Genomic DNA, 21,184 nt, shown 5'->3' on the forward strand with positions numbered 1-21,184 from the left:
TCACTTTATGAGGTTTATTCGACAAAGTTAAGGATGCGCATCCGTGACACGACCTCGGGAAGTCCTGACGACATGTGCCCAAGGTGGTCGGGGCACAGCCTGGTTTTATACATTTTAGGGAGACATGAGACATCAATCAATACATGTAAGAAGTACACTGGTTCCATCCAGAAAGACGGGGACAGCTCCAAGCAGGAAAGGGGTTTCCAGGTCACAGGTAGGTGAGACAACTGGTTGCATTCTTTTGAGTTTAGAGACAACCGGTTGCATTCTTTTGAGTTTCTGGTAAGCGAGGCAATCAGAATATGCATCTATCTCAGTGAGCAGAGGGATGAGTTTGAATAGAATGGGAGGGAGTTTTGCCCTGAGCAGTTCCCAGCTTGAAGGGACCCAAGAGATTTTTCCTTTCACAGCCCCACGTCATCGCAGGAGTCGTTGTGAGAGGGAGGCAGGAGGGTCAGGGTCAGCAAGGAGATGGTTGATGGAGGCGGAGGTCAGGGCGATGCGACCGCTGGCTTTGAAGATGGCCGTGAGCCAGGGACTGCAGGTGGCCTCTAAAGGCTGGAGAAGCGAGGAAACAGATTCTCCCCTAAAGCCTCCAGAAAGGAACCGTTCTGCCCACACTTTGACTTCTCAAAACTGTAAAAGAATGAATGTGTGTTGTTTCAAGCCACTAAATTTGTGGTCATTTGTTACAGCCGCCATAGGAATCTCACACAGAACCTCAGAGAGCAGGTGAGAAAACTGAGGCCCAGAGCGTGGGTGCCCGGAGCCCAAGGCTCCACTGAGGACATGTGCCACCCCCGCATCCCCTGAATCTCCTTGTTCTCACCTGGCTTCTCTTTTGTCCTTTTCATCAGTCCAGAGCACCGACTTTCTCAAAGGGGAGCTGTACTCTGCCCCAAGCACTTTGGGGACCCTGGGGTGAAAACCCCAAGGCTGAAAATAGCTCTGCACCTTGCTTGGTTACGTTTCTGCTTCTCCCCCTCTGTGAGGTCGATGGCTCACAAAGCCACTTCCTCCTGACTCGCTTCTGCCACCCTCGTCTTGCCTGGCATCTGCCTTCCTCCCGTGGCTGCCTCATGGGTTCTCTCTCTGTTATCCCAAGCTCTCAGCCATCCTGAGGTTGTCCTTGAGGTCTCTTTCCTTGGAAAAATTCCCAACACGTTCCCAGGCTGGGCAGCGGTTAGGGATTTCTGGGGTAGACGTTTTTTGTCTATTTTTTTTTTCTTTTCACTATTATGATCTTCCTCGTTTTGAGGTTAAAGTCGGTGTTTCCTTTCTCTGGGTGTGAGAATCGACCATGATGCTGTCACAGCCAAGACATTTCCTCTCAAACCACGGTGAGCGCAGAGGTTTCACAAGAAATTTTCCTTCCCGTCCATCATGTTCTTGGGCTTGAACGAAAGGTTATTTGTAGTTGGAAAGTCTGAACGACATCATCAGACACGTTGTCTTAGGTTGTGTGGGAAGAAAAGAATCAGTTTAAACGAGGCTTACAATTTCGGTTGCATTTCAAATGGGATTGCTTTAAAAATGCCAAGCACATAAGAAGAGCCTGTGCCTAGAAACTCAAACAGAGTGGATGCTGACTGCGTGTCCAGTCCACTCCCGGGGCACAGAGCAGGCACTCGAGCGATGGTTGTCGAATGAACAACCAAATGGGTGAATGCGTGAGTGGGTGAGCAACACATTCTGAAGTGACCGGAATGTTCTGGAACTGATCACCATCTTCTGCTAATGCTGACTCATGTTCTGACTTTGAACCGTTCATTAGGCGAGAGCTAACTACCTTGAGAGGCTCCTGGTGATCGTAACTCTTGCTGAATGGGGACCAAGAGGCACTTCAGTGTAATTAGTTCCAGTTCCATGACCCAAAGAGGCCTGAGCGGCAGCACGTTTCCAACACATGGCCTGCTCCAGGTCTTGAAGAAATAGACACAGGCACCACTAACGCTTTGGCTGATAGATTATGCCAGCAATCAAAAGGCTCTGTGGAGGATCTGGTGTACAGGGAAGATAAACGTGTTTATTCTGTCTCATGCCCCTTCTTGAGCCAATCACTGTCAAGGGGGATGGGGGACCTTAGAGAGTGATGGGGATTCATAGCTGGGTGTGAGGATGGGGACTCTTCCCCTCAAGTCTATAGAGGAGGACTGGACATCTGCACAAAATCAGGGTTCTGTGAACAAGGAAGAAAGGAGGAATGTCCTAGTGACAACTGAGCATCTTCCTAATTAGGACGGCAACTCAAGGTTGTTGAGAACCTGTGAACATACCATGCCACCTAACCCTCCCAACATCTTGCAAGAGCATCGTTCCCACTGTCTAGATAAACAGACTGAGGCCAGGTACAGTGGCTCAATGCCTGTAATCCCAGCACTTTGGGAGGCCAAGGTGGGCAGATCACTTGAGCCCAGGAGTTCAAGACCAGCCTGGGCAACCTAGGGAGACCTCATCTTCACAAAAAAATTAAAAAAAAAATTAGCCAGGTGTGGTGGTGTGCACCTGTAGTTCCAGCTACTTGGGAGGCTGAGGCAGGAGGATCACTTGAGCCCTGGAGTTTGAGGCTGCAGTGAGCTGTGATTGCACCACTGCACTCCAGCGTGGATGATAGAGGGAGACCCTGTCTCAAAAAAAAAAAAAAAGAAAAAAAAAGAAACGGAGACTCAGGGACCAGGCTCGGGTGGCAGTCCAGGATTCTCATAGAACTTGGCCACTGATGGGAACAGTGTTGCTTCACCTCCGACGTGCATTCTCCCTTTTCTCCTTGCTCATAGAGTCCTAATCTTGTTCAGCTATCGAGTCCTCCTCTGTATGGTTCAGTGGGAGGGGTCCCCATCCACACTACCAGCTATGAATCTTTATCCCTCTCTAAGGTCCCTCACCCTCTCGACAGTGATTGGCTCAGGAAGGGGCATGGGACTGAATAATGGCCAATGAGCTGAGAGGAAAAACACCTGCTGGGGCTTCCAGGAAGGTCCCTCCTTCCTTGCCACCTGGTGTGTCCAGAGGATGGGATGGAAATGGGGCCACCATGTTGCTGCCAGCCAAGGATGGCACTGACACGTGGAGACGGGAGTGGCAGAGCCTAAAGTGCCAGCTCCAGGCTGCCTTGATTTAGGACTCTGTGCGAGGCAGACCTTCCCTTGAGTTGGAGTCAAGGAACCTGACTCTGCTCCTTGCAGCCCGAGGCATCCTGAGGGACATTATCGGACTTCTCTTCCTCACCTCTTTCCCACCCCTTTCCTTGCCAATTAGAAAAGCTTGAGGACTCTAGAGCCTTCTGTTCCTGCCCTGGCCCCATCATTTACAGAAATGGCCCCACCCCTCTGGGCCTCCACTTGTTCAGCTATAAAATGGGACTCTCCTGCCTTGCCCACTTGGCCGTGTTGCTGGAGTGAAAACGAGGTATCACATGCAAAGTAAGGCACTTTCAGAATGCCACTGGGCTAGAAAGAGTGAGAGAGGGTGAGCCACCTTTCCTATCATGCCATTTCTGGCATTGCCACAGAACCCAGCACCCCACAGAGAATGGCACCTTGATGGATGGGCAGTGCTGTTTGCTCTTGGGTGTCTTCCTAATTCTCCTTTGACTGGTCTGCATAGTTTTTGTGCTGGTTAATTGTATTTGGTGATGATAATACCAAGCCTTAATCCTCCCGGGGAGAGGGATGACCACAGCCGGCGGGCCATTTGCAGAACATTCCTTTGACGACAGCATTGCAGGGCCTTGTATGCATTGTCCCAGCCCTGAATCAGTTAGAGGTGTTTGTTGTAAACAGCAAATGCCAACTGTGGTTAAGGTGCATGGGACCTCATAGAAGGATGTTGGGTGGGTGGACAACAGGTCCTGCTCCCTTGCTTCTTGGGTACTGGTTACAGAGTTGACGCCACCTGTGGAGGTACCTGGGGAACCTCAGTCACGTGGCTGCACTCTAGCTGCAAAGGAGGCTGGGAGAATGAGTGTCTGGCATGTCCTACTCCCTTCTCACGGGAGGGGAAATCCTGTAAACAGCAGAGGGGCTCTTAGGCTGGGGTGCCCGCATTAGTGACAAACAGCCCCTACAGCGTAACGATGGACACTGACTGAGTAAATGAAAGTGGCCCGTAGTTCACCCCCCAGATATCTTTGTTCAGTTGTTTTGATGGCCTATCTAGTGTCTGAGAGTGTACGGGTTGGAAGGGGACTGAGAGCAAGGGCTCTCAGCATTTTTCTCTTGGTAACCTGCTTTTAAACACTGAAATTTGTGGCCAATCATCTGAAAGATTAAAAGCCTGAAAATAATAGCAAATAAATCAGCGAGAAGAGCGTTGAGCGATGACTACAGTTTAACAGTCTCTCCCTATGTCCAAAAAAATGCTTAGAGCCCTTGTCACCTTTCGTCCCTGTCACTGGCTGAGCAGATGTCTCTGGCCCTCGCTGTAGGCTCTTGCACACTCATTGTATTGGCCTCCCATAGCTGCTGTAATAAATAAGCGCAGATTTATGAATAATACAAATTTAGTCTCTTTCACCGCTGGAGGCCAGAAGTGCAATGTCAGTCCTAGTGGGCTCAGATGAACATGGGGGCTTTGTTCTTCCTGGAGGCTCTGGGGGAGAATCTGTTTCCTTGCTTCTTCCGCCTTCTACAAGCCACCTTCACTCCTTGGCTTGTGGGCCCTCCCCCTACTTCCAAAGCCAGCGATGCCAGGTGAGTCCCTCCCACATCCCACCTCTCTCTCTTCTGCCTCTTCTCCACTTATAAGGACGCTGTGATGACAGTGGGTCCACCCACATAATCCAGGATAAACTCCCTCTTTTAAGGTCAGCTGATTAGCAACCTTGATTCCATCTGCAACCTTAATTCCCCCCTGCTGTGTAACCTAACCTGTCTATAAGTTCCGGGGTTAGGACATGGAGGTCTTGAGGATGGGACACCATCATTCTGCCTGCCACACTCCACAAGGCAAATCTTTCCCAAGTTCTAGGACCTACAGAGTGTTTCCTTCCATCCTGTGTCTTGTAGCTACCTGTGCTTTGTTCCACTACAGAACGTTCAGCTCAGTGTTTTGTCTTGTAATACTTGGTTAATTATTTAACAATTCCACGGATGTTTGCTAACCACCCACATGCCAAGCCTGGGTCCACATCAATGAGTAAAACATGGAGTTTCTGTCCAGCCGTGCTCCCTGTCTCCTGGGTAACAGTGACCGTCTTTGGAACATTGCCTGGTTCATCTCCTTTAGTTGCAAACAGTGCTGTGAGGTCATCATTATTGTCATTCCCATGTTACAGATGAGGAAGCAGAGGCACAGAGAAGTTAAGCGGCTTGCTACTCACCAGCATAGTCCAAGTCCAGGGCTCCTGCGCGTAACCATCATTCCTCGACGCTACGCTCACTGCAGAACTTATTGCTCTTACAGGACAACACTGACCTTGACGTTGGTCAAGATTCGGCAGCCGTCCACCAAAGGGCAGCTGTGGATTAGCCTGACACACTGCTCTGTTTCGGGAGGACAGCTCTCAGCAACCAGTCCTGGCCTCTGTCTATGGAGATTTGGACACTGGAGTCCAGAAGGTCGCTAAGCTAAAGGACACATAGCTTGAGCTAGAATCCAGGTGTCCAGAATCTGGTAGCTTTCTCCTTCTGGAGCCGTGGAATCTTGTGGTTGACGGTGACCTCAGAGCATCATGCTCAGTTTTCCCACCTAGAGTAGGAACCCCAGCCACAGCACCGTCGGCTCATGGTCACTCAGCGTCCTTAAGTGCCCAGTGCAGCTTAACTCGGGCTGGTTGTGGACCCAGCCCAGAGCGACTGCAGAACCACAGCCCTTCCTGCTACGGCCGCACCACCCACGTCCACAGTGAAGCTCGGCCACTTGCCCCTGGCCACGCATTAGGGAGCTTCAAAAAAGATCAGTGCCTGCACCAACCCAGGCTGCAATTTGAATCTCTAGAGATGAGGCCTGGGTATCTGATTTTTTTTTTTTTTTTTTTTGAGACGGAGTCTTGCTCTGTCACCCAAGCTGGAGTGCTGTGGCGCAATCTCAGCTCACTGCAAGCTCCACTTCCCGGTTCACGCTATTCTCCCACCTCAGCCTCCTGAGTAGCTGGGACTACAGGCGTCTGCCACCATGCCCGGCTAATTTTTTTGTATTTTTAGTAGAGACGGGGTTTCACCGTGTTAGCCAGGATGGTCTCGATCTCCTGACCTTGTGATCCACCTGCCTCGGCCTCCCAAAGTGCTGGAATTACAGGCGTGAGTCAGCGCGCCCGGCCGGGTATCCGAATTTTTTAAAGCATATAGACTTTGTTTTTTAGCACTGTTTTACAGATAAATTGAGGAAATAATACAAATGGTTCCCATCTACCTGCCTTCAGCTTCCCCTTTTACTAACATCTTACATTAGCATGGTGCATTCGTTCTAATTAATTAACCAATAAGGATACATGATCATTAACTGAAATCCACACTTAATTCCAATTTCCTCAGATTTCCCCTCGTGGCTGTTTCTGTCCCAGGATCCCATCCAGGATTCCACGTGACAGTCATTGGGTTTCCGTGGGCTCCTCTTGGCTGACAGTTTCTGGGACTTTGCCTGTCTGTGATGACGCTGATGGTTTTGAGGACTGCTCGGGTAGAATATTTTGTAGAAGATCCCTCAGTTTGGGCTTTTCTGATGTTTTTCTCATGGTTAAACTGGGGTTATCGGTTTTTGCGGGAAGATCTCAGATGAAAGTGCTGTTCTCATCACTTCCTATCCATGGTCCATGCTGTCCGTGTGACTTACCACGGTGGACGTTGACCTTGGCCACCTGGCTGGCTGTTGGGTTCTCCACTGGAAGTTTACTCTCTTCCCCCTTCCCATACTGCACTCTGGAAGAAAACCAAAGCCCAGACTCACTAAATCCATTAAAGAACTTTCCTGAGGTAACAGAGCCAGGGAATAGTAAGTGGCTCAGGCCCTGGCCTCTCTCCCTTGGGAAACTGTGCTCTGAGGACCATCTGGTCTACCCAGGAGAGAAGCGGCTGAGGCAGCCTCTGTGGCCTTTCAAGCCCTGGTCTTCAAGGAGTTTTGACACAACCAAGATGCCCTTCATTTAGCAGCTATGCAAGACGTTCGCTAGAAAGTGAACATCTTTTCAAAAGCCGAGGAGCGTGGGTTTTGTGCTCTGTAAAGGTCTGCGTGGGCTGGCCCTGCTCATCCACCCCAACCCCTGATTCCTGGCTCTCTCTTGTTTCCCCTTGCTGTCCTGGCTCCAGGCACACTGGCTTTCTTCCACTTTCTCCAGCATGTCATGTCCCCTTCCATCTACCCTGGGGCTTTGCACGTGCCATGTCCTCTGCCTGGAATCCACTCTCTTTCCTCCTGTGCTGGCTAACTCCTGTTTCCTTCAGAGTCTACCTGAAGCAGGGTCTACCTCTTTAGGAAAACCTTTCCTGACCACCCTCCAGATTAGGGCTGCCCCCATTGCATATGCACAGGGCTCGCCACCTCAGCATGCATACGCTCCTGTGTGGGAGCTTTTCTTTTTGTTTTTTTTTTTGAGATGGAGTCTCGCTCTGTCACCCGGCTGGAGTACAGTGGTGCAATCTCGGCTCACTGCAACCTCTGCCCCCTGCAACCTCTGCCCCCTGGGTTCAATCAATTCTTCTGCCTCAGTCTTCTGAGTAGCTGGGACTACAGGCGTGTGCCACCACACCAGGCTAATTTTTATATTTTTAGTAGAGACGGAGTTTCACCATATTGGCCAGGCTGGTCTCGAACTCCTGACCTCATGATCCGCCCGCCTCAGCCTCCCAAAGTGCTGGGATTACAAGCGTGAGCCACCACACCTGGCAGGAGCTTTTCTTTTCTTTTTATTTTTTTAGAGACTGGGTTTTTCTGTGTCACTCAGGCTGGGGTGCAGTGGTGATCACAGCTCACTGCAGCCTCAAACTCCTGGCCTCAAGCAATCCTCCTGCCACAGCCTCCCAAGTAGCTGGGACTACAGGTATGCACCACCATGCCTGTTTTTTTGTTTGTTTGTTATGTTTGTAGAGATGGGATCTCATTATGTTGCCCAGGCTGGTCTTGAACTCCTGGCCTCAAGCGATTCTCCCACCATGGCCTCCCAAACTGCCAGGATTGCTGGTGTGAGCCACGCCTGAACAAGTTTTTCTTTTTAATTAGCATGTTTCCCCTATAAGACAATAAGTTCAAGAAGGACTAGACTGTGTCTGTCTGTGTTTACTGCTGTATCCCTAGAGCCTGTGTCTTAGAAGCATCTGGAACATGAGAAGTGCTCAGCTCAGTAGATGTCTGTTGAGTAAAATGAATGAATGAGGAAGCCTTGGGCATTAGTTGCCTGGACACTATAGAAGGATAATCCTCACCATTAGAATTCATATTATCTTGTCTTTTAATTTTTTCCATTTTTCCTTCCCTTAGGGGGCATTTAGGAGTACATTTCAGTGGGGATGAAATGAAATTTTTAAGTCAATTAATTTGGGATTTTTAGTCTTACACCCCTGTCTTAGCCTCATCTATCTGGGTTTTATCAAGCCAGAGTGAGAGTTAAATTAGAAGGGCCTGACCCTTGTTGATTTTGGAGCTCCATGACTCAGAGTCACAGTGTCTCAGAGACCACATATGGTCCATGGCTCTTCTTTAGGCAGAACAGTTAGTGTGTCAGTTCTCTATTGTTGCAAAACTAACTGCCCCAAGCTCAGTGGCATAAATGACAACCTCTTTATTCTATCTCATAACTTTGCAGTCAGCCGTTTAGGCAGGGCTCAGCTGGCTGGGCGTTCTGCTTTCCTGGCATTGATGGGGGTCCCTCAGTGGGACTCAGCTGGTTGATGGCCTGCTCTGGATGGACCAAGGTGGCTTCACTGATGGGGATGATAGGAGGGCTGTCAGCTCTCTGTCTCCACATTGCCTTGGGTCTCTCCATGTGGTCTCTTCAGCAGCATAAATGGACTTCTTCCATGGTGGCTCAGGACACCAAGAGAACATGTTCTAGGAGGCAGGAAGAAGCAGCTCGCAGATTCTTAAGTCTCACGCCTAGAAACGGACACAGCATCACTTCTACCTATGCTGCTGGTCAAAGCAGGCACAGAGCCCACTGGATTGAAGAAAGAGGCATAGACCCCCACCTTTAAAGGGCTGAGTGTCAGAGAACTTGTGGCCAACATTAATCCACCACAACTGGTCATACCTGGGCTTGAATTCTTGAAGGATGGGGGAGCTCTATTGCACACAGAGCTGCTTTTTCCATTGCAGAGAGACTTGGATGGTGAAAACATTGATCTTTTCTGTGGAGTGGTTTCCTCTCTCCCTATTAGTCCACAAATTTGTCTGGGTCTGAACAGCTATTTGGAGTCTGGCCTCCCCCGAGAACTCTGTTGGAAAACTACAATCTCTTTCTTGGGTCGAATGCAGGTCCCCTGTGCTCTTAGGTTGTACACTTTAGCTCCACTTTGTGGTCTACTGGGATCAGCAGGTCCATCCTGTGGGTTAGCCCTGTCCAAAGGTCCCCGGCCACCAAGGGCAGAGCCAGGACTCAAAGGTGGCTGTGAGTCTGTGTGAGTCCCACAACTGCAATTATAAGCATTTGGCTGCATTTCCTCTCACACTGGTTCTGTTAGCTGTCAAGTGATATGGTTTTCAGAAACAAAGTTCACCCACTCACTCATATTCATTCACCCACCCACCCATTCATCATCCATCCATCCATCTACTCAACCATCCATCCACTCATCTACCCATTCATCACCTCCCCACCTCCACATGTATCCTCCGTCCATGTATGGAGCCAAGCACCTACAGGCTCAGGGCACAAGGTCAAAGGAACCCACTGTCTTGGTGACCCCTCACGATTCTCACCCATCTCCCATTTGGAGCCTCTGGTCTTTAGGAATTTGCTGTCCCTCTCCTGATCTCTCTGTGGCTGCCCTGTGCTGGGGGCAGATGATGGTTCAAGGTTGGATCCTCACATTTGCATTTTCTACCCTTTTGGTCTCAGTGTTGCCGTGGAAACTTTTCTGGAAGTCTTAAAAAAACTGAAGAAAAAAACCATACAGGAAATTGTGTCTTGTGTTCTTTGTAGCGAATCTTGTGCTAATTTTGAACCCAGCTTTATTTTTCTTTATTTTTTAACACCAAATCTTGAGTGTGAAGATAGAAGCTTCCTCCAGTGAAGCAGCAGCCCCGGCACTGGGCCTGCAGTGGAGACCGGGAATGAGAGAAGCCCCTGGCGTGGGCTGGCAAGGACGCAGAGCACGGAGAGCACCTGGGGCAGGGCCGGCGCCAACGGCATAACACATGCTGCTGCTCCTCTCCCGCGGGGCCCATGGAGATGGCTGGAAGCAGCCCAACGTCAGGGCAGGTGAATAGCATGAGCACACATGCTGGGCATAGCTGGGTACAACTATGAGGAGGCATGAACAGCTATGAGTGCCACTTGGTGACAGGTGGCCTAGCTGGAATCTTGGCTCTGCCAGCCACAAGCTGTGGGACTGTGGGCCAGTGATCCCATCTCTCTGTGCCCCACCTTATTCATCTGTACAGCAGGATGATACTGATAGTACCTGTGTCTCAGGGCTGTTATGAAGGTGAAAGGAACACATCCAAGGGCTGTTCCCAGAGGCCGTGAATTCTTTGGTACTTTTGGCTTCTGCCTACGCAGCAAAGGAGTTTCAGGTAGCCAGAGAAGGCTGCCAGGTGAGAACAGGCAGGGTATCCAGCTGGCACTGGGCAGGTGGGTGGGGGGTGCATAAGGATGGGGAGGATGGGTGGCTAGCAGCAACAGAGATAGCACCCCCAAGTCCAAGAGTGCCTGTGCGTGCTCAGATGTGTTGGTGGCATCACCAGGAGGGAATTTCAGGTCACTTTCTGCCATCTCCTTGGGCTGTGCTGGTGTGTCCTGGGTCTTCTCATGGGACCACGTCTACTCCCACGATGTAGCTGCCACCCTTGGCTGACAACTTCCAAGTCCTTGTCTTTAGCACCAGTACAATGGATTCTCGAACCATCTGAGGAATACCCTCTGAACTGCTCTGCCCAGACAGCCTGCAGGCACCTCACTCTCAAAACGTCTTAACCCAAATTCGTCCTTGCAACCCTCTCCCCTCACCCCAAAGCTCCTCCTCCTCCTGGCTCCTAGATCTCGGGTGAGGACAGCTATGAAGTTAGGAACCCACATGCTGCCTGGCTGCCTGGCTGCCCTGCTCCCTCTGGGCCACCACCATCTCTCACCTGGGTTATTGCCGTAGTGGGGTAACTGGTTTCCCTGCAAACATTCGGCCACCCTTCCTGTCTGCTTCCTACACCTCTGGCAGAGCTATCTTCAGCCACGCGGGGAGATCACATCACAGCCCCCAACTTAATGTTCTCTAATCCCCAATATGGTGGCCACTAGCCCCACGTGGCTATTTAAGTTTAAATTAATTAAAATGAAGTCATGACAGCTTCCCAGCTGGCCTCCAGGTCTCCAGGCTGCCTGCTGTGCTCCATTATCCACATGAGCGCCACAGGGAATGTCCTAGAACCTGGCTCTTGTGGGGCCAGTGCCCACCTCTCACCCTCAGTGGCCTCAGCGCACCATGGTTCGTAGGGGCACTCACCCACCAGGTCAGCCTCCTCCCGCCTCCCTTCTGCGTGGCTCCCTCTCAGCCCTGCTCCTGCCTCCCCCTTCCGTTGCACTGCCTGCCTCCATGCTGGCCTCCTCCCTCCTCCCTGTGCTGGTCCACACCTGCTCCCCTCCAAGACCCCAGGGTGACATATTGCTGACTGCCTCAGGAAAACAGCTTCCTCCTCTGCACGCATCAGATCTTTGCTCTTTGTGTGAAGGTCACGGCGCTGGGATCACCCAGGCTTGGGGAACCTGGCAGGGCTGCAGATGGATCACCAGGCTAATGAAGCTGGAACTCCAGGTCTCCTTTCTTGCCTGCTCCCTTACAGGGCACATGCGGCACATTTTGTGTTTTTATCCTGAAGAGGGACCCTATTTAGGTTGTTTAAGCAGCAAGCTCACAAACCTAGACCCACTCTGGGCTGGACTTGGCCCTGATGATGCCAGTCTTCTCATCTGTGAAATAAGAGTAAGAAGACAGCCTTGTGGGATGGCTCTGACTAGCAAAGAAGGACATGACCAGCCCATTCTCAGCAAAACGCCCAGCGTGTGGTGGTGAAACACCTCAATGTTGCATAATATTTGTTTCATTGATAGAGAAAACAGGTGTTCAGTAAATCCTAGTTATTATGAGAATTACTAATACCCATTGATGGGCATGCTGACTTCACCCTCTGCAACCTGGTGAGGTGGGCATTACTGGTGCCCCGTTTTACAGATGAGGAAACTGAGGCTGACAGAGGAGAAATGATTTTGCGTGTCAGGCAGCTGCTGCCCACGGGTGGAGCCAGGTCCGGGTGGCTCAGGAAACTGCGACCCTTTCTGGGACGGTGCTGTCCCCCGAGTGAGACCATCGAGAGGGCACTCCGCGTGTAGAGCATTCCCGTCTCGCGCTGAGGCGCGGCACCTGTGGCCTGCCCTGGCTCCCGTCCCTGGCTCTTCTCGTTTCTATTTCAGCTCTCTTCATTCTGACTTTCGTTTTATCTCAGATCCCTACCTTCACACTCACATAAGAGAAGAGTGAAGTTTCGGGGACTCCACACCTCAAGGTAGTTCCACCGTGCGAGGTGCTGCGCTCACAGTATTACTCATGCACCTTTCTGATAAGAAAAGTGAAAATGTGAAGTTGAAAACTGAAGACGCCCAGCAACTTCCTGAATCCAGCCCTCCACGTCCTGCCCTACGGGACGGACGACTCCCAAAGAGGAATCGTTGGTGGAAGTCCCATGTTTCGTTGCCGTTGGAAGGGGGAACTGGTCAAGGCAGGTTCGGTTTCAGGATCTCACCTCACCTGGGAGCGGGGAGGTGACGGTCCCCCAGCGGGGCAGTCACGCCGCCCTGGCCTTGAGGCCGGACTCCACACTGCGCTTGGCTAGGGTGGTCCGTCCCTCTCTTGGCCACCTGTGTCGGGCAGCCTGACGCCGCATCTTCCTGAGCAGCTGTCGGCGTTGCCGTGTGGCAGCCACGCTGTTGCAACATGAGCGGCTGAGGTTTCTGAGGCCCCTCCGGCCAGAAGCTGGCCCAGGTGCTGTGGGCAAGACATGTGCGAGAGACTGAATTAGACCCCCTTGGAAAAAAAAACCACGCACACAAACACCATCCTGCCTTTTTTTTTTTCAGGGCTCATCTCTGGACCCACACCCCATAACCAACATGGAAGCCTGGATTTGGCCCTGGATCAGGCTGGCTCCCCAGGGAAGGGTCCAGTCTCTCCGGGGAGACATCCCGACTTCGGGTCCTGCTTTCTCTACTGTAATTCGAGGCTGGCCATGCCCCTCAGTGGGCCTCAGTTTCCTCACCTGTACAGTGGGGAAATCCATAGGACCTACCTCCTGGGAGGGCACTGAGGACCGAGGGAATGAATGCCTGTCCAGTGCTCATGATCGTGACAAGCACTGCGCAGAATAAATCCGGAATAAACGCTCACCGGGTGAGGGAGGGCAGGGAAGATTTCTAAAATCCCCCTGATTTGAGATGAGATCTGATTCACCCACTTAAAAAACCACATTGGGAAATAATTTGAAATGTACAGGAAAGTTGTAAGAATCGCACAAAGAATACTCCCAAACGTTTTGCCCATACTCACCTGTTTTCTGTGGCAACTTTGAGACAGAATTCACACGCCATACAGTTGACCCATCTCAACTGTACAATTCAATGGCCTTTCATAGTCAGAGTTGTGCAACTGTCACCAGGGTCAATTTTAGAACGTTTTCATCACTCTCCTCTCACAAAAAACCCCTCACGTCCCTTGGCTGTCACTCTGCACCTATTAATATTTTTTTGTGTTAAGACTTTTTCTTTGAGATGGAGTCTCAGTCTGTTGCCCAGGCTGGAGTGCAGTGGCGTACATCTCGGCTCACAGTAACCTCCACCTCCTGGGTTCAAGCGATTCTCCTGCCTCAGCCTCCTGAGTAGCTGGGATTACGGGTGCCCGCCTCCACGCCCGGCTAGTTTTTGTATTTTTAGTAGAGACAGGGTTTCACCATGTTGGTCAGGCTGGTCTCGAACTCCTGACCTCGTGATCCACCTGCCTTGGCCCCACAAAGTGCTAGGATTACAGGTGTGAAACACTATGCCCGGTAAATGTTAAGACTTTTATGCATCTTCTTGACCTGTGGTCTTCAGCATTTGAGTCTTAGGGGACCTTTAAAATATTAAGATAGGCCAGGCACAGTGGCTCATGCCTGAAATCCCAGAACTTTAGGAGGCTGTGGTGAGACGATTGCTTGAAGCCAGGAGTTTGGGACGAGCCTGGGCATCATAGTGAGACCCCCATCTTGGCAAAAAAGTAAACATAAAAAATATTAGCTGGGCATAGTGGCGAGCATCTGTAGTTCTAGCTAATTGGGAGGCTGAGGTGGCAGGATCCCTTGAGCCCAAGAGTTCAAGAGTATAGTGAGCTATGATTGTGCCACTGCACTCCAGCCTGGGCAATAGAGTGAGACCCTGTTTCTAAAAAACAAAAGCCATACTAAAATACTCTGCAAAGACCTCATATTCATTTATTCACTCAACAAATGTTTGTTGAGCACCTGTTTTATGCCAAGTCCAATACTAGGAGCTCTGGTTGCAACAGAGAGCAAAACAGACACGGCCCTGCCAGTCACCTGGGGCAGGGAATCCCCCTGCCCCACTCCCTGCAATAATCGATTGTAGAGAAGAATTAGCAAATCACAGCTGAGAAGGGTCTGCTGGAAAACACAGCAGAGGCCTTGACTTTGCCTGATGAATGGAGGTGGGCTTCCTGGCAGAGGGGCGTCTGTGGGTGAGGGAGGAAGTAGGACTGGCTGGTCAGAGGGGACGGCACACAGGAAGCTGCTGAGCAGGCAGGAGTGTGCTCCGTGGAGGAGCTAGGAGGAGGCCAGTTCTTAGCTGGAGGGTGGAGAAGGAGGGCTAAAGCCAAGCATGCAGAGGCCGAGGGATGTGCAGCGCCGGTCAGCCCACGTGAGATCTTTCCTCCCTCTCCGTGGACTGGGAACCTCCATAGTTACCACATGCTGCGCTGACTTCTCTAACACGCTTTGGCCAATGATGTTTCCCTAATCACAGCAGCTCCTCATTTAGAATGTGTTCTTATTTAGGATGCGTTCGAGTCTCTGTGATCTGAACTCCACATGAGGACTCCCTGGGTCCCTCAGGAACCCATGTCCTACCAGTTAGACTCCCTTGTTTTAGACCCCTTATTTCAGCATTTTATAAACTCTGTCCCGTAGGATACTGACCCATTTGCAACTTAGCCAAAAAAATGAAAGTTATGTAGCCAAACAAGCTTTGAAAATACCCCATTTCTTTCTGGACGTTTCACAATGCACAGGAGCATATTAAAGGCTCTGATAAGTCCTGCAGCAAAGAACCAAGTGCTTCCCAAATGCAGTAGTTCAGGGAACCTCTTTGTTCCATTACTCCCATGAAGTTTACAAAACTAGTGCTATGTGGAAAATGCTTTGTAAAACACGGATAATTCTGCAAGTGATCTGCCTGAGTGTGGAATGCAGATATCCAGCCAGAGTCTGTAACTTCAGACATGGTGTGGAAGGCCAATGTGAAAAGCAGGAATAGTAGAATGGTTTTAAAAGGGTTCCCTCTAATTACTCTTGAGTAGGAAAGTAGGAGCCGCCGACACCTGGGAACTGTCCTGGAGCCCCTGGCCGGGCTGGGCCATTCTCCGGTTTGACATAAACCATCTCCCAGAACACCAGCTGCACAGAAGGTCACTCTGAGATCACAGTAGTGAGACAAAGACAGGTCACGGTGTCACCCACAAACACCAATTATCCCCCTTTCCCCACTAAAATGAAGAATGGCTGTTTCTTGACCAATCTCAGCTTTATGCTGGTGCCCGTCTCCCCTCTCTAGAGGTGACAGTGATTGAGGCACCCACTCAGAGAATTGCCCCCTTTCTTTTGGCTTCTGGTCTACTGAGCCCCACTTCCCTAGACCTTCGCCTTCCCACTACCCACCCAAACCCCAAATCCTACAGGGGCTCTTCCCAGCACCCTCTCACCCCGAAGTTCCTATGGGGAGCGTCCACCCTCATTGCAAGGTGGAAGAAACCTGGCTCTTCAACCAAAGGCCCCCAGGGGAGCGTGGCTGGAGGGCACGACACTCTCAAAAATATATAATTCTCTGAACAAAATATACCTCTGTTCCTTTACAAATGAAGCATCTGTTGAAAGTGTGTGGAACTTATTTTGCAAAGATATTCCTTGTGATAAGGCTTGATTCCAGGTAACTCTTTTCAAAGTGAGTCACAGACCAGGAAGTCGTATGGAATGAGTGATGGAAAGATGTATTTTACACGTTGCCCCTCAAGTCCAAACTTGAACTCATGTCTCTCTGAACCAGAGTGGAGCTTCCTTCCATTGCAGCCCCATATATGCTGTCAGGGAGCTAGGGGGCCTGGGAGGGTGGCCACCCTGCACACCGTGTGTTACTGGGTGAGGATTTGCACGTTTGTGGCTGAGGGGAAGACGTTCACGTTGGATAGTTGTAATTTCCAATCCAGGCCCCAACTCTCTATAACTGAGTGACTGTGGGTGAGTTTCTCCACGTTCCTGAACCTCAATTTTCTCATCTATGAAGTGGGGATGCCACTACAAATCAGGTAGCACCTACAAATCAGGTTTAAGGATTTGAGTAGATAACATATGTAAAGTGTTTAGCCAGTACCCTGCCAGCAAATGGTGACCACCACTGTCACTGTTGTCACTGGTATTATCTAGTGGTCAAGGTCAGCGCATCAGCCTTTGGTCAGTGTTCTTTCTCGGTTAGAGGACTTTTTGACCCCGGGTGTCCATGAGGGTCACCTGGGGAACCTAAAAACAATGGACTCCTGGGCTGGCCCCAAGTTTAGGGAGGAACTGGTCCTGGCTGGCTGGGCTGAGAGCTGCTGCTCCAGACCTGGTGCTGGGGAAAGGGATGCGGCTTCCCGTCTGCCCAGTGAGCGAGGGAGAAATGGTTCTGATGACTGCCCGCTGGCCCAGGCCCAGTCTTACTGACCAGGGCCATTGTGAGAGGTGCGCCAGGCCGGCTGCTCCCACAGCTGCTCGAAGCCTGGGGACTGGACATCAGGGTGGCAATGGGTTGGCACCAACCCCCACATCACTCTCTCGGAGATAAAAGTAGCTGCCATCTGCAGGGTGCTTCTGACGTGCCAAATGCTGCTGAGCACTGCGTATGCATGCGTTCATTTCATACCCACAACCCTAGCAGGCGTACGAGCCAGCTTCCAACTGCTGCAGCAACAAACTGCTGAAACTCGGTGTCTTCGTGATATTTATTTGTTTAGAGGCAGAGTCTCACTCTGTTGCTCAGGCTGGAGGGCAGTGGCACAATCTCGGCTCACTGCAACCTCCACCTCCTGGGTTCAAGTGATTCTCCTGCGTCAGCCATCTGAGCAGCTGGGATTACAGGTGTGTGCCACCACGTCCAGCTAAATTTTGTATTTTTTAGTAAAGACAGGGTTTCACGATGTTGCCCAGGCTGGTCTCGAATCCTGACCTCAAGTGATCCACCCACCTTGGCCTCTCAAAGTGCTGGGATTACAGGCCACAGCAAGTGAGAACCACTGTGCTTGGCCCAAACTTGGTGTCTTAGAATGACACAGAGGCCTCTTAGAGTGCTGGAGGTCATGTCTGACGTGGGTGTTACTGGGCTAAAATCAAAGCGTGGGCAGAGCTGGTTCCTTCTGGAGGCTCCAGGGAAGAATCCACTTTCTTGCCTTTTCCACCTTCCAGAGGCAACCTGCACTCCTTGGCTCCTGGCCTCTTCTTCCATCTGTTAGCCGGTTGAGTCTTGACATGGCCCCCCTCCAGCCCTCTCCTCTCTTACTTTAAAGGGACTTTGTGATTTCATTGGGTCCACTTGAAAAGTCCAGGATAATTTATTTTAAAATCAGCTGATTAGCAGCCTTCATCCCACCCTCACTGTCGTTCCCCGCTGCCAGGTCACCGGACATAGTCACAGGCTCTGGGGACTGGGCTGTGGACATCTGGGGGACTAATGCCTCCACATCTGTTCTTATTGTTTCCATTTCACAGAGGAAGACACCGAGGCTCAGAGTGATTAAATGGTGGCTTGACTAAGGCCCCACGGTGAGCGAGGGCTCCAGTGAGATCCAGGGTCCCCTCGAGTGCAGGTCTGAGGACCACCCTCCCCTTCCTCTGCTCATTCTCTGCAGCCCTTCTTCGGGCTCTCCACTTCCAGATTCTCATTCTCCACGACACCAGAGCTCATCCTATTCCTGTAGCCTGAGCAGATGCAGAAACCACACCCGAAGCCGAGGTGGGGGCCTGCCCGCTCCTCACTGGGTCCCCAGACCCTCTCCTGGCAGATGGGCTTCGGCCCCACCCCTCACCACACCGTTTGCCAGCCAGTTTCTGTTCATTTAATGGGACCTGTTGTGTGTTGAGCTGAGCCCAGCTGGGAACACAGTGGGAGATAAATATCAGTAACTGTAAGACTCCGGAACCCAACTGGAATGGTTCTTGATGTCTTTCATTTTTAATAAAAGAGATTACCTAATGAGATGCCCTCACCTTCTTGATGGGCTGGTTGTCTGCCTGTAGGTCCATGTAGGGTGGGCTTGTTTCGGGTGAGTTGTAAGATATGGAAGGAGCAAGCTATTTTATTATAGTATAAAATCTTTAGGCCAGGCATGGTGGCTCATGCCAGTAATCCCAGCACTTTGGAAGGCCAAGGCAGGAGGATCACTTGAGGCCAGGAATTTGAGACCAGCCTGGGCAACATAGTGAGACCCTATCCCTACAAAAAGTTTAAAAATTAGCTGGGTGAGGTGATGCAAGCCTGTAGTCCTAGCCACTCAGGAGGCTGAGGCAGGAGGATCGCTTGAGCCCAGGAGTTTGAGCCCAGGGAGCTATGATTGCCTCACTGCACTATAGCCTGGGTGACAGAGTAAGACCTTATCTAAAAAAAAGAAATAGTAAAATCTTTAATGAGATGTTGTTTTCATTGAAGGTGACATGTCTTTGTATGAGCCTGACTTAGAATCAGGAAAATAATAACTAGAATAGAATCTACAGTGTCTGCCCGCCTCTGTAGTAAGGACACAGAGGGCCGAAGGGCCCTACCTGGCCCAGGCCACAGAGAGGGACTTGGACCCAGGCCTCCGAGGCTTGTCCAGGGCTGCAGATGAGTTGTGGCCCATCTCAGAAAACTACCTCCTGGCTCCCCGTTCTCCTCTCTCAGGCATTCTTCTGAAGCCATGCTTCCCCCCTCCCCCGAAGATTCCAGCAAACACATGGAGGTGGGGACAACTGACTTGTTGGGAATGCGGGGTGCCTGTCCCCTTCTCTCTCTTTTCAAGAGCCTTTGAGGCCTCACTGGGAAGGCAGAGCTCCCCTGTGCCTGAATCGCTGCAGAGCCCATTGGAAATGCCCAACCTTTTCCTCCCAGAGCATCGGAATCAGTTCCTTTAAAGTCCCCTGCCTGGGCTGCCCCTGAATTCTATTGTCTGCTGGACACCGGGGTGCCATAAATAGCCCCCCAGGCAATTCAAATGTGCAGGCATGTCTGGGGATCTCCTTAAGGTTGTTGTAAAATTTCCAGACCCTTCTAAGGTGGGGATAGCTTAAATGCCGTGGTGGGTGGGATGCAGTGAGGCCAAGGAAGGCTGCTTGGAGGAGGTGACTTCTGCATTGAGCATCAAGAGCTCAGCCAAGCAGAGCCTGGTAGAGCAGGCAGGAGACTTTGAGCCCAGGGAGCAGTGTGGGTGAAGGCATATAGGCCAGAGGGAGCCCAGCCTTGTTGAAAAGGCAGCAACCCGCTTGCTCTAGTGGCACCTGGGGAAGGAGGGTGGGTTGGGGAGAGAGGGCAGGTAGGCCGAGAGCGGGGCAAGGCCACAGGCAGTGCCCCGTGAGTGCTTTTGTGCTTCACGCTGAGGGGAGGTGGGTGACCACAGAAGGTGTCACAGCCGTGGCAGCCTCTGCTTTGCCCACTAGCTGTGACATCAAGCTTGAGGGCTGTTGGCAGAGCAGCCGAGCCTGTTCACTCACCTGAGGCAGAGGCAGTGGGGACCCGCCTCAACTGGAGCTGGAACCTTGCACAGAGCGAACGCGGGGCATGATGGGGAGGTGGGTGGTCTCTGTTAGGGGTTAGGAGGGAGCCCCTGGTGACCCAAATGGGTCTCCGATGGTGGAATTTCAAGCAGAGGCCAGGGATGGATTTTGGGGTGAAGCATTGTTCAGGTGTCCTGCAAGAATGTCTTCCCCCCGCCATCCCCACCTCCACTGCCTACTCTAGATGTCCAGCTAGGCTTTGGGCGAGAAGGCTGTTTAGGGAACACAGTCTCCTGTTCCCGAGAAGCCATGTGGCCCCTCTGGGGCTGGATAGGAGAAGCGGGACCCTCCTCGCCCGGGCGTAGCACTCCGTGGGCTGGCTGGGTTCCAGCAAACAGTGGTGAGAAAACCCGAAACCCTGGTGGGAGTTGTATCATGAGGAAGGGAAACTGATCTTTTTCGTTGCCTCCCCTCACTCAGCCATTGGTTTGGTTTGAACACATTTTCTCCCTTAATTTTTTTAAATCATAAAAATAATACAGCAACCGCATTATATAAAATTTGAAAAAGGGAAAAAAGAACTGCTCCCCACATTCCTCCCACACTAACCCAACAGCTCTCGGTCTTCATTCAGGTGCCAGAACGTATTTTGAACTTATTATATCATGCCTGTTTTCCTCATTGCTACAAAATCTTGTAACTGTCATTCAGAGTGCTTGGGGAGCGGAGCGCTATCGCCTATGAAACAGCCCCGTGTGGATGGCCATTCAGGCCATTTGTAAATGTCTGCTTTTCGGGACCAATCCTGCCAGTGCCTGCGTGTGGATTTCTGCTTCTGTTTAATTCCTCTGTTAGGATAATGCCCAGGAGTGGCGTTATGGAGTGGTCAATACCATCCGGCCCCTGGTCACCTCTCCAGTGCCTCCCCCATCCCTTGCATCCCCCACTCCACTACAACCACAGGGCTGCTTGTTGTCCACAAACATGTTAAGTGTGGTCCTACCTCAGGCCTTTGTACCGCGCCCCCTTCCTCCCAGAATACTTCTGTTTATTCATACGCTTTCCC

At 51.2% G+C, this 21,184-nt stretch overlaps 2 long non-coding RNA genes across 2 annotated transcripts, besides 10 other annotated features; one reads left to right on the forward strand and one right to left on the reverse strand.

The window, feature by feature from the left end:
• On the reverse strand, positions 1-898 carry LINC02132 (long intergenic non-protein coding RNA 2132). Its single transcript, XR_001752391.2, has 2 exons — positions 833-898; positions 1-639 (listed from the first exon to the last, which is right to left on the reverse strand). It is a non-coding gene; the product is annotated as a long intergenic non-protein coding RNA 2132 (long non-coding RNA).
• Positions 329-428: an enhancer, noted in NCBI's record as "active region_11299". NCBI's record gives its function as "activates an Ori minimal core promoter by ATAC-STARR-seq in GM12878 lymphoblastoid cells {active_cell/tissue: GM12878}" and the evidence as "EXISTENCE:reporter gene assay evidence [ECO:0000049][PMID:35858748]".
• Positions 439-578: an enhancer, noted in NCBI's record as "active region_11300". NCBI's record gives its function as "activates an Ori minimal core promoter by ATAC-STARR-seq in GM12878 lymphoblastoid cells {active_cell/tissue: GM12878}" and the evidence as "EXISTENCE:reporter gene assay evidence [ECO:0000049][PMID:35858748]".
• Positions 581-1,080: an enhancer, noted in NCBI's record as "H3K4me1 hESC enhancer chr16:85969463-85969962 (GRCh37/hg19 assembly coordinates)". NCBI's record gives its function as "activates a minimal SCP1, AML or CMV promoter by ChIP-STARR-seq in naive and primed H9 embryonic stem cells {active_cell/tissue: H9 hESC(naive and primed)}" and the evidence as "EXISTENCE:reporter gene assay evidence [ECO:0000049][PMID:30033119]".
• Positions 1,769-1,828: a silencer, noted in NCBI's record as "silent region_7830". NCBI's record gives its function as "represses an Ori minimal core promoter by ATAC-STARR-seq in GM12878 lymphoblastoid cells {active_cell/tissue: GM12878}" and the evidence as "EXISTENCE:reporter gene assay evidence [ECO:0000049][PMID:35858748]".
• Positions 9,662-9,711: an enhancer, noted in NCBI's record as "active region_11301". NCBI's record gives its function as "activates an Ori minimal core promoter by ATAC-STARR-seq in GM12878 lymphoblastoid cells {active_cell/tissue: GM12878}" and the evidence as "EXISTENCE:reporter gene assay evidence [ECO:0000049][PMID:35858748]".
• On the forward strand, positions 10,103-14,359 carry LOC105371388 (uncharacterized). Its single transcript, XR_001752395.1, has 3 exons — positions 10,103-10,354; positions 12,589-12,865; positions 13,220-14,359. It is a non-coding gene; the product is annotated as an uncharacterized LOC105371388 (long non-coding RNA).
• Positions 11,880-11,929: an enhancer, noted in NCBI's record as "active region_11302". NCBI's record gives its function as "activates an Ori minimal core promoter by ATAC-STARR-seq in GM12878 lymphoblastoid cells {active_cell/tissue: GM12878}" and the evidence as "EXISTENCE:reporter gene assay evidence [ECO:0000049][PMID:35858748]".
• Positions 12,290-12,539: an enhancer, noted in NCBI's record as "active region_11303". NCBI's record gives its function as "activates an Ori minimal core promoter by ATAC-STARR-seq in GM12878 lymphoblastoid cells {active_cell/tissue: GM12878}" and the evidence as "EXISTENCE:reporter gene assay evidence [ECO:0000049][PMID:35858748]".
• Positions 12,690-12,819: an enhancer, noted in NCBI's record as "active region_11304". NCBI's record gives its function as "activates an Ori minimal core promoter by ATAC-STARR-seq in GM12878 lymphoblastoid cells {active_cell/tissue: GM12878}" and the evidence as "EXISTENCE:reporter gene assay evidence [ECO:0000049][PMID:35858748]".
• Positions 19,741-19,850: an enhancer, noted in NCBI's record as "active region_11305". NCBI's record gives its function as "activates an Ori minimal core promoter by ATAC-STARR-seq in GM12878 lymphoblastoid cells {active_cell/tissue: GM12878}" and the evidence as "EXISTENCE:reporter gene assay evidence [ECO:0000049][PMID:35858748]".
• Positions 20,801-20,920: an enhancer, noted in NCBI's record as "active region_11306". NCBI's record gives its function as "activates an Ori minimal core promoter by ATAC-STARR-seq in GM12878 lymphoblastoid cells {active_cell/tissue: GM12878}" and the evidence as "EXISTENCE:reporter gene assay evidence [ECO:0000049][PMID:35858748]".

The sequence above is a fragment of the Homo sapiens genome, chromosome 16 (assembly GCF_000001405.40).
Source record: "Homo sapiens chromosome 16, GRCh38.p14 Primary Assembly".
NCBI lineage: Eukaryota > Metazoa > Chordata > Mammalia > Primates > Hominidae > Homo > Homo sapiens.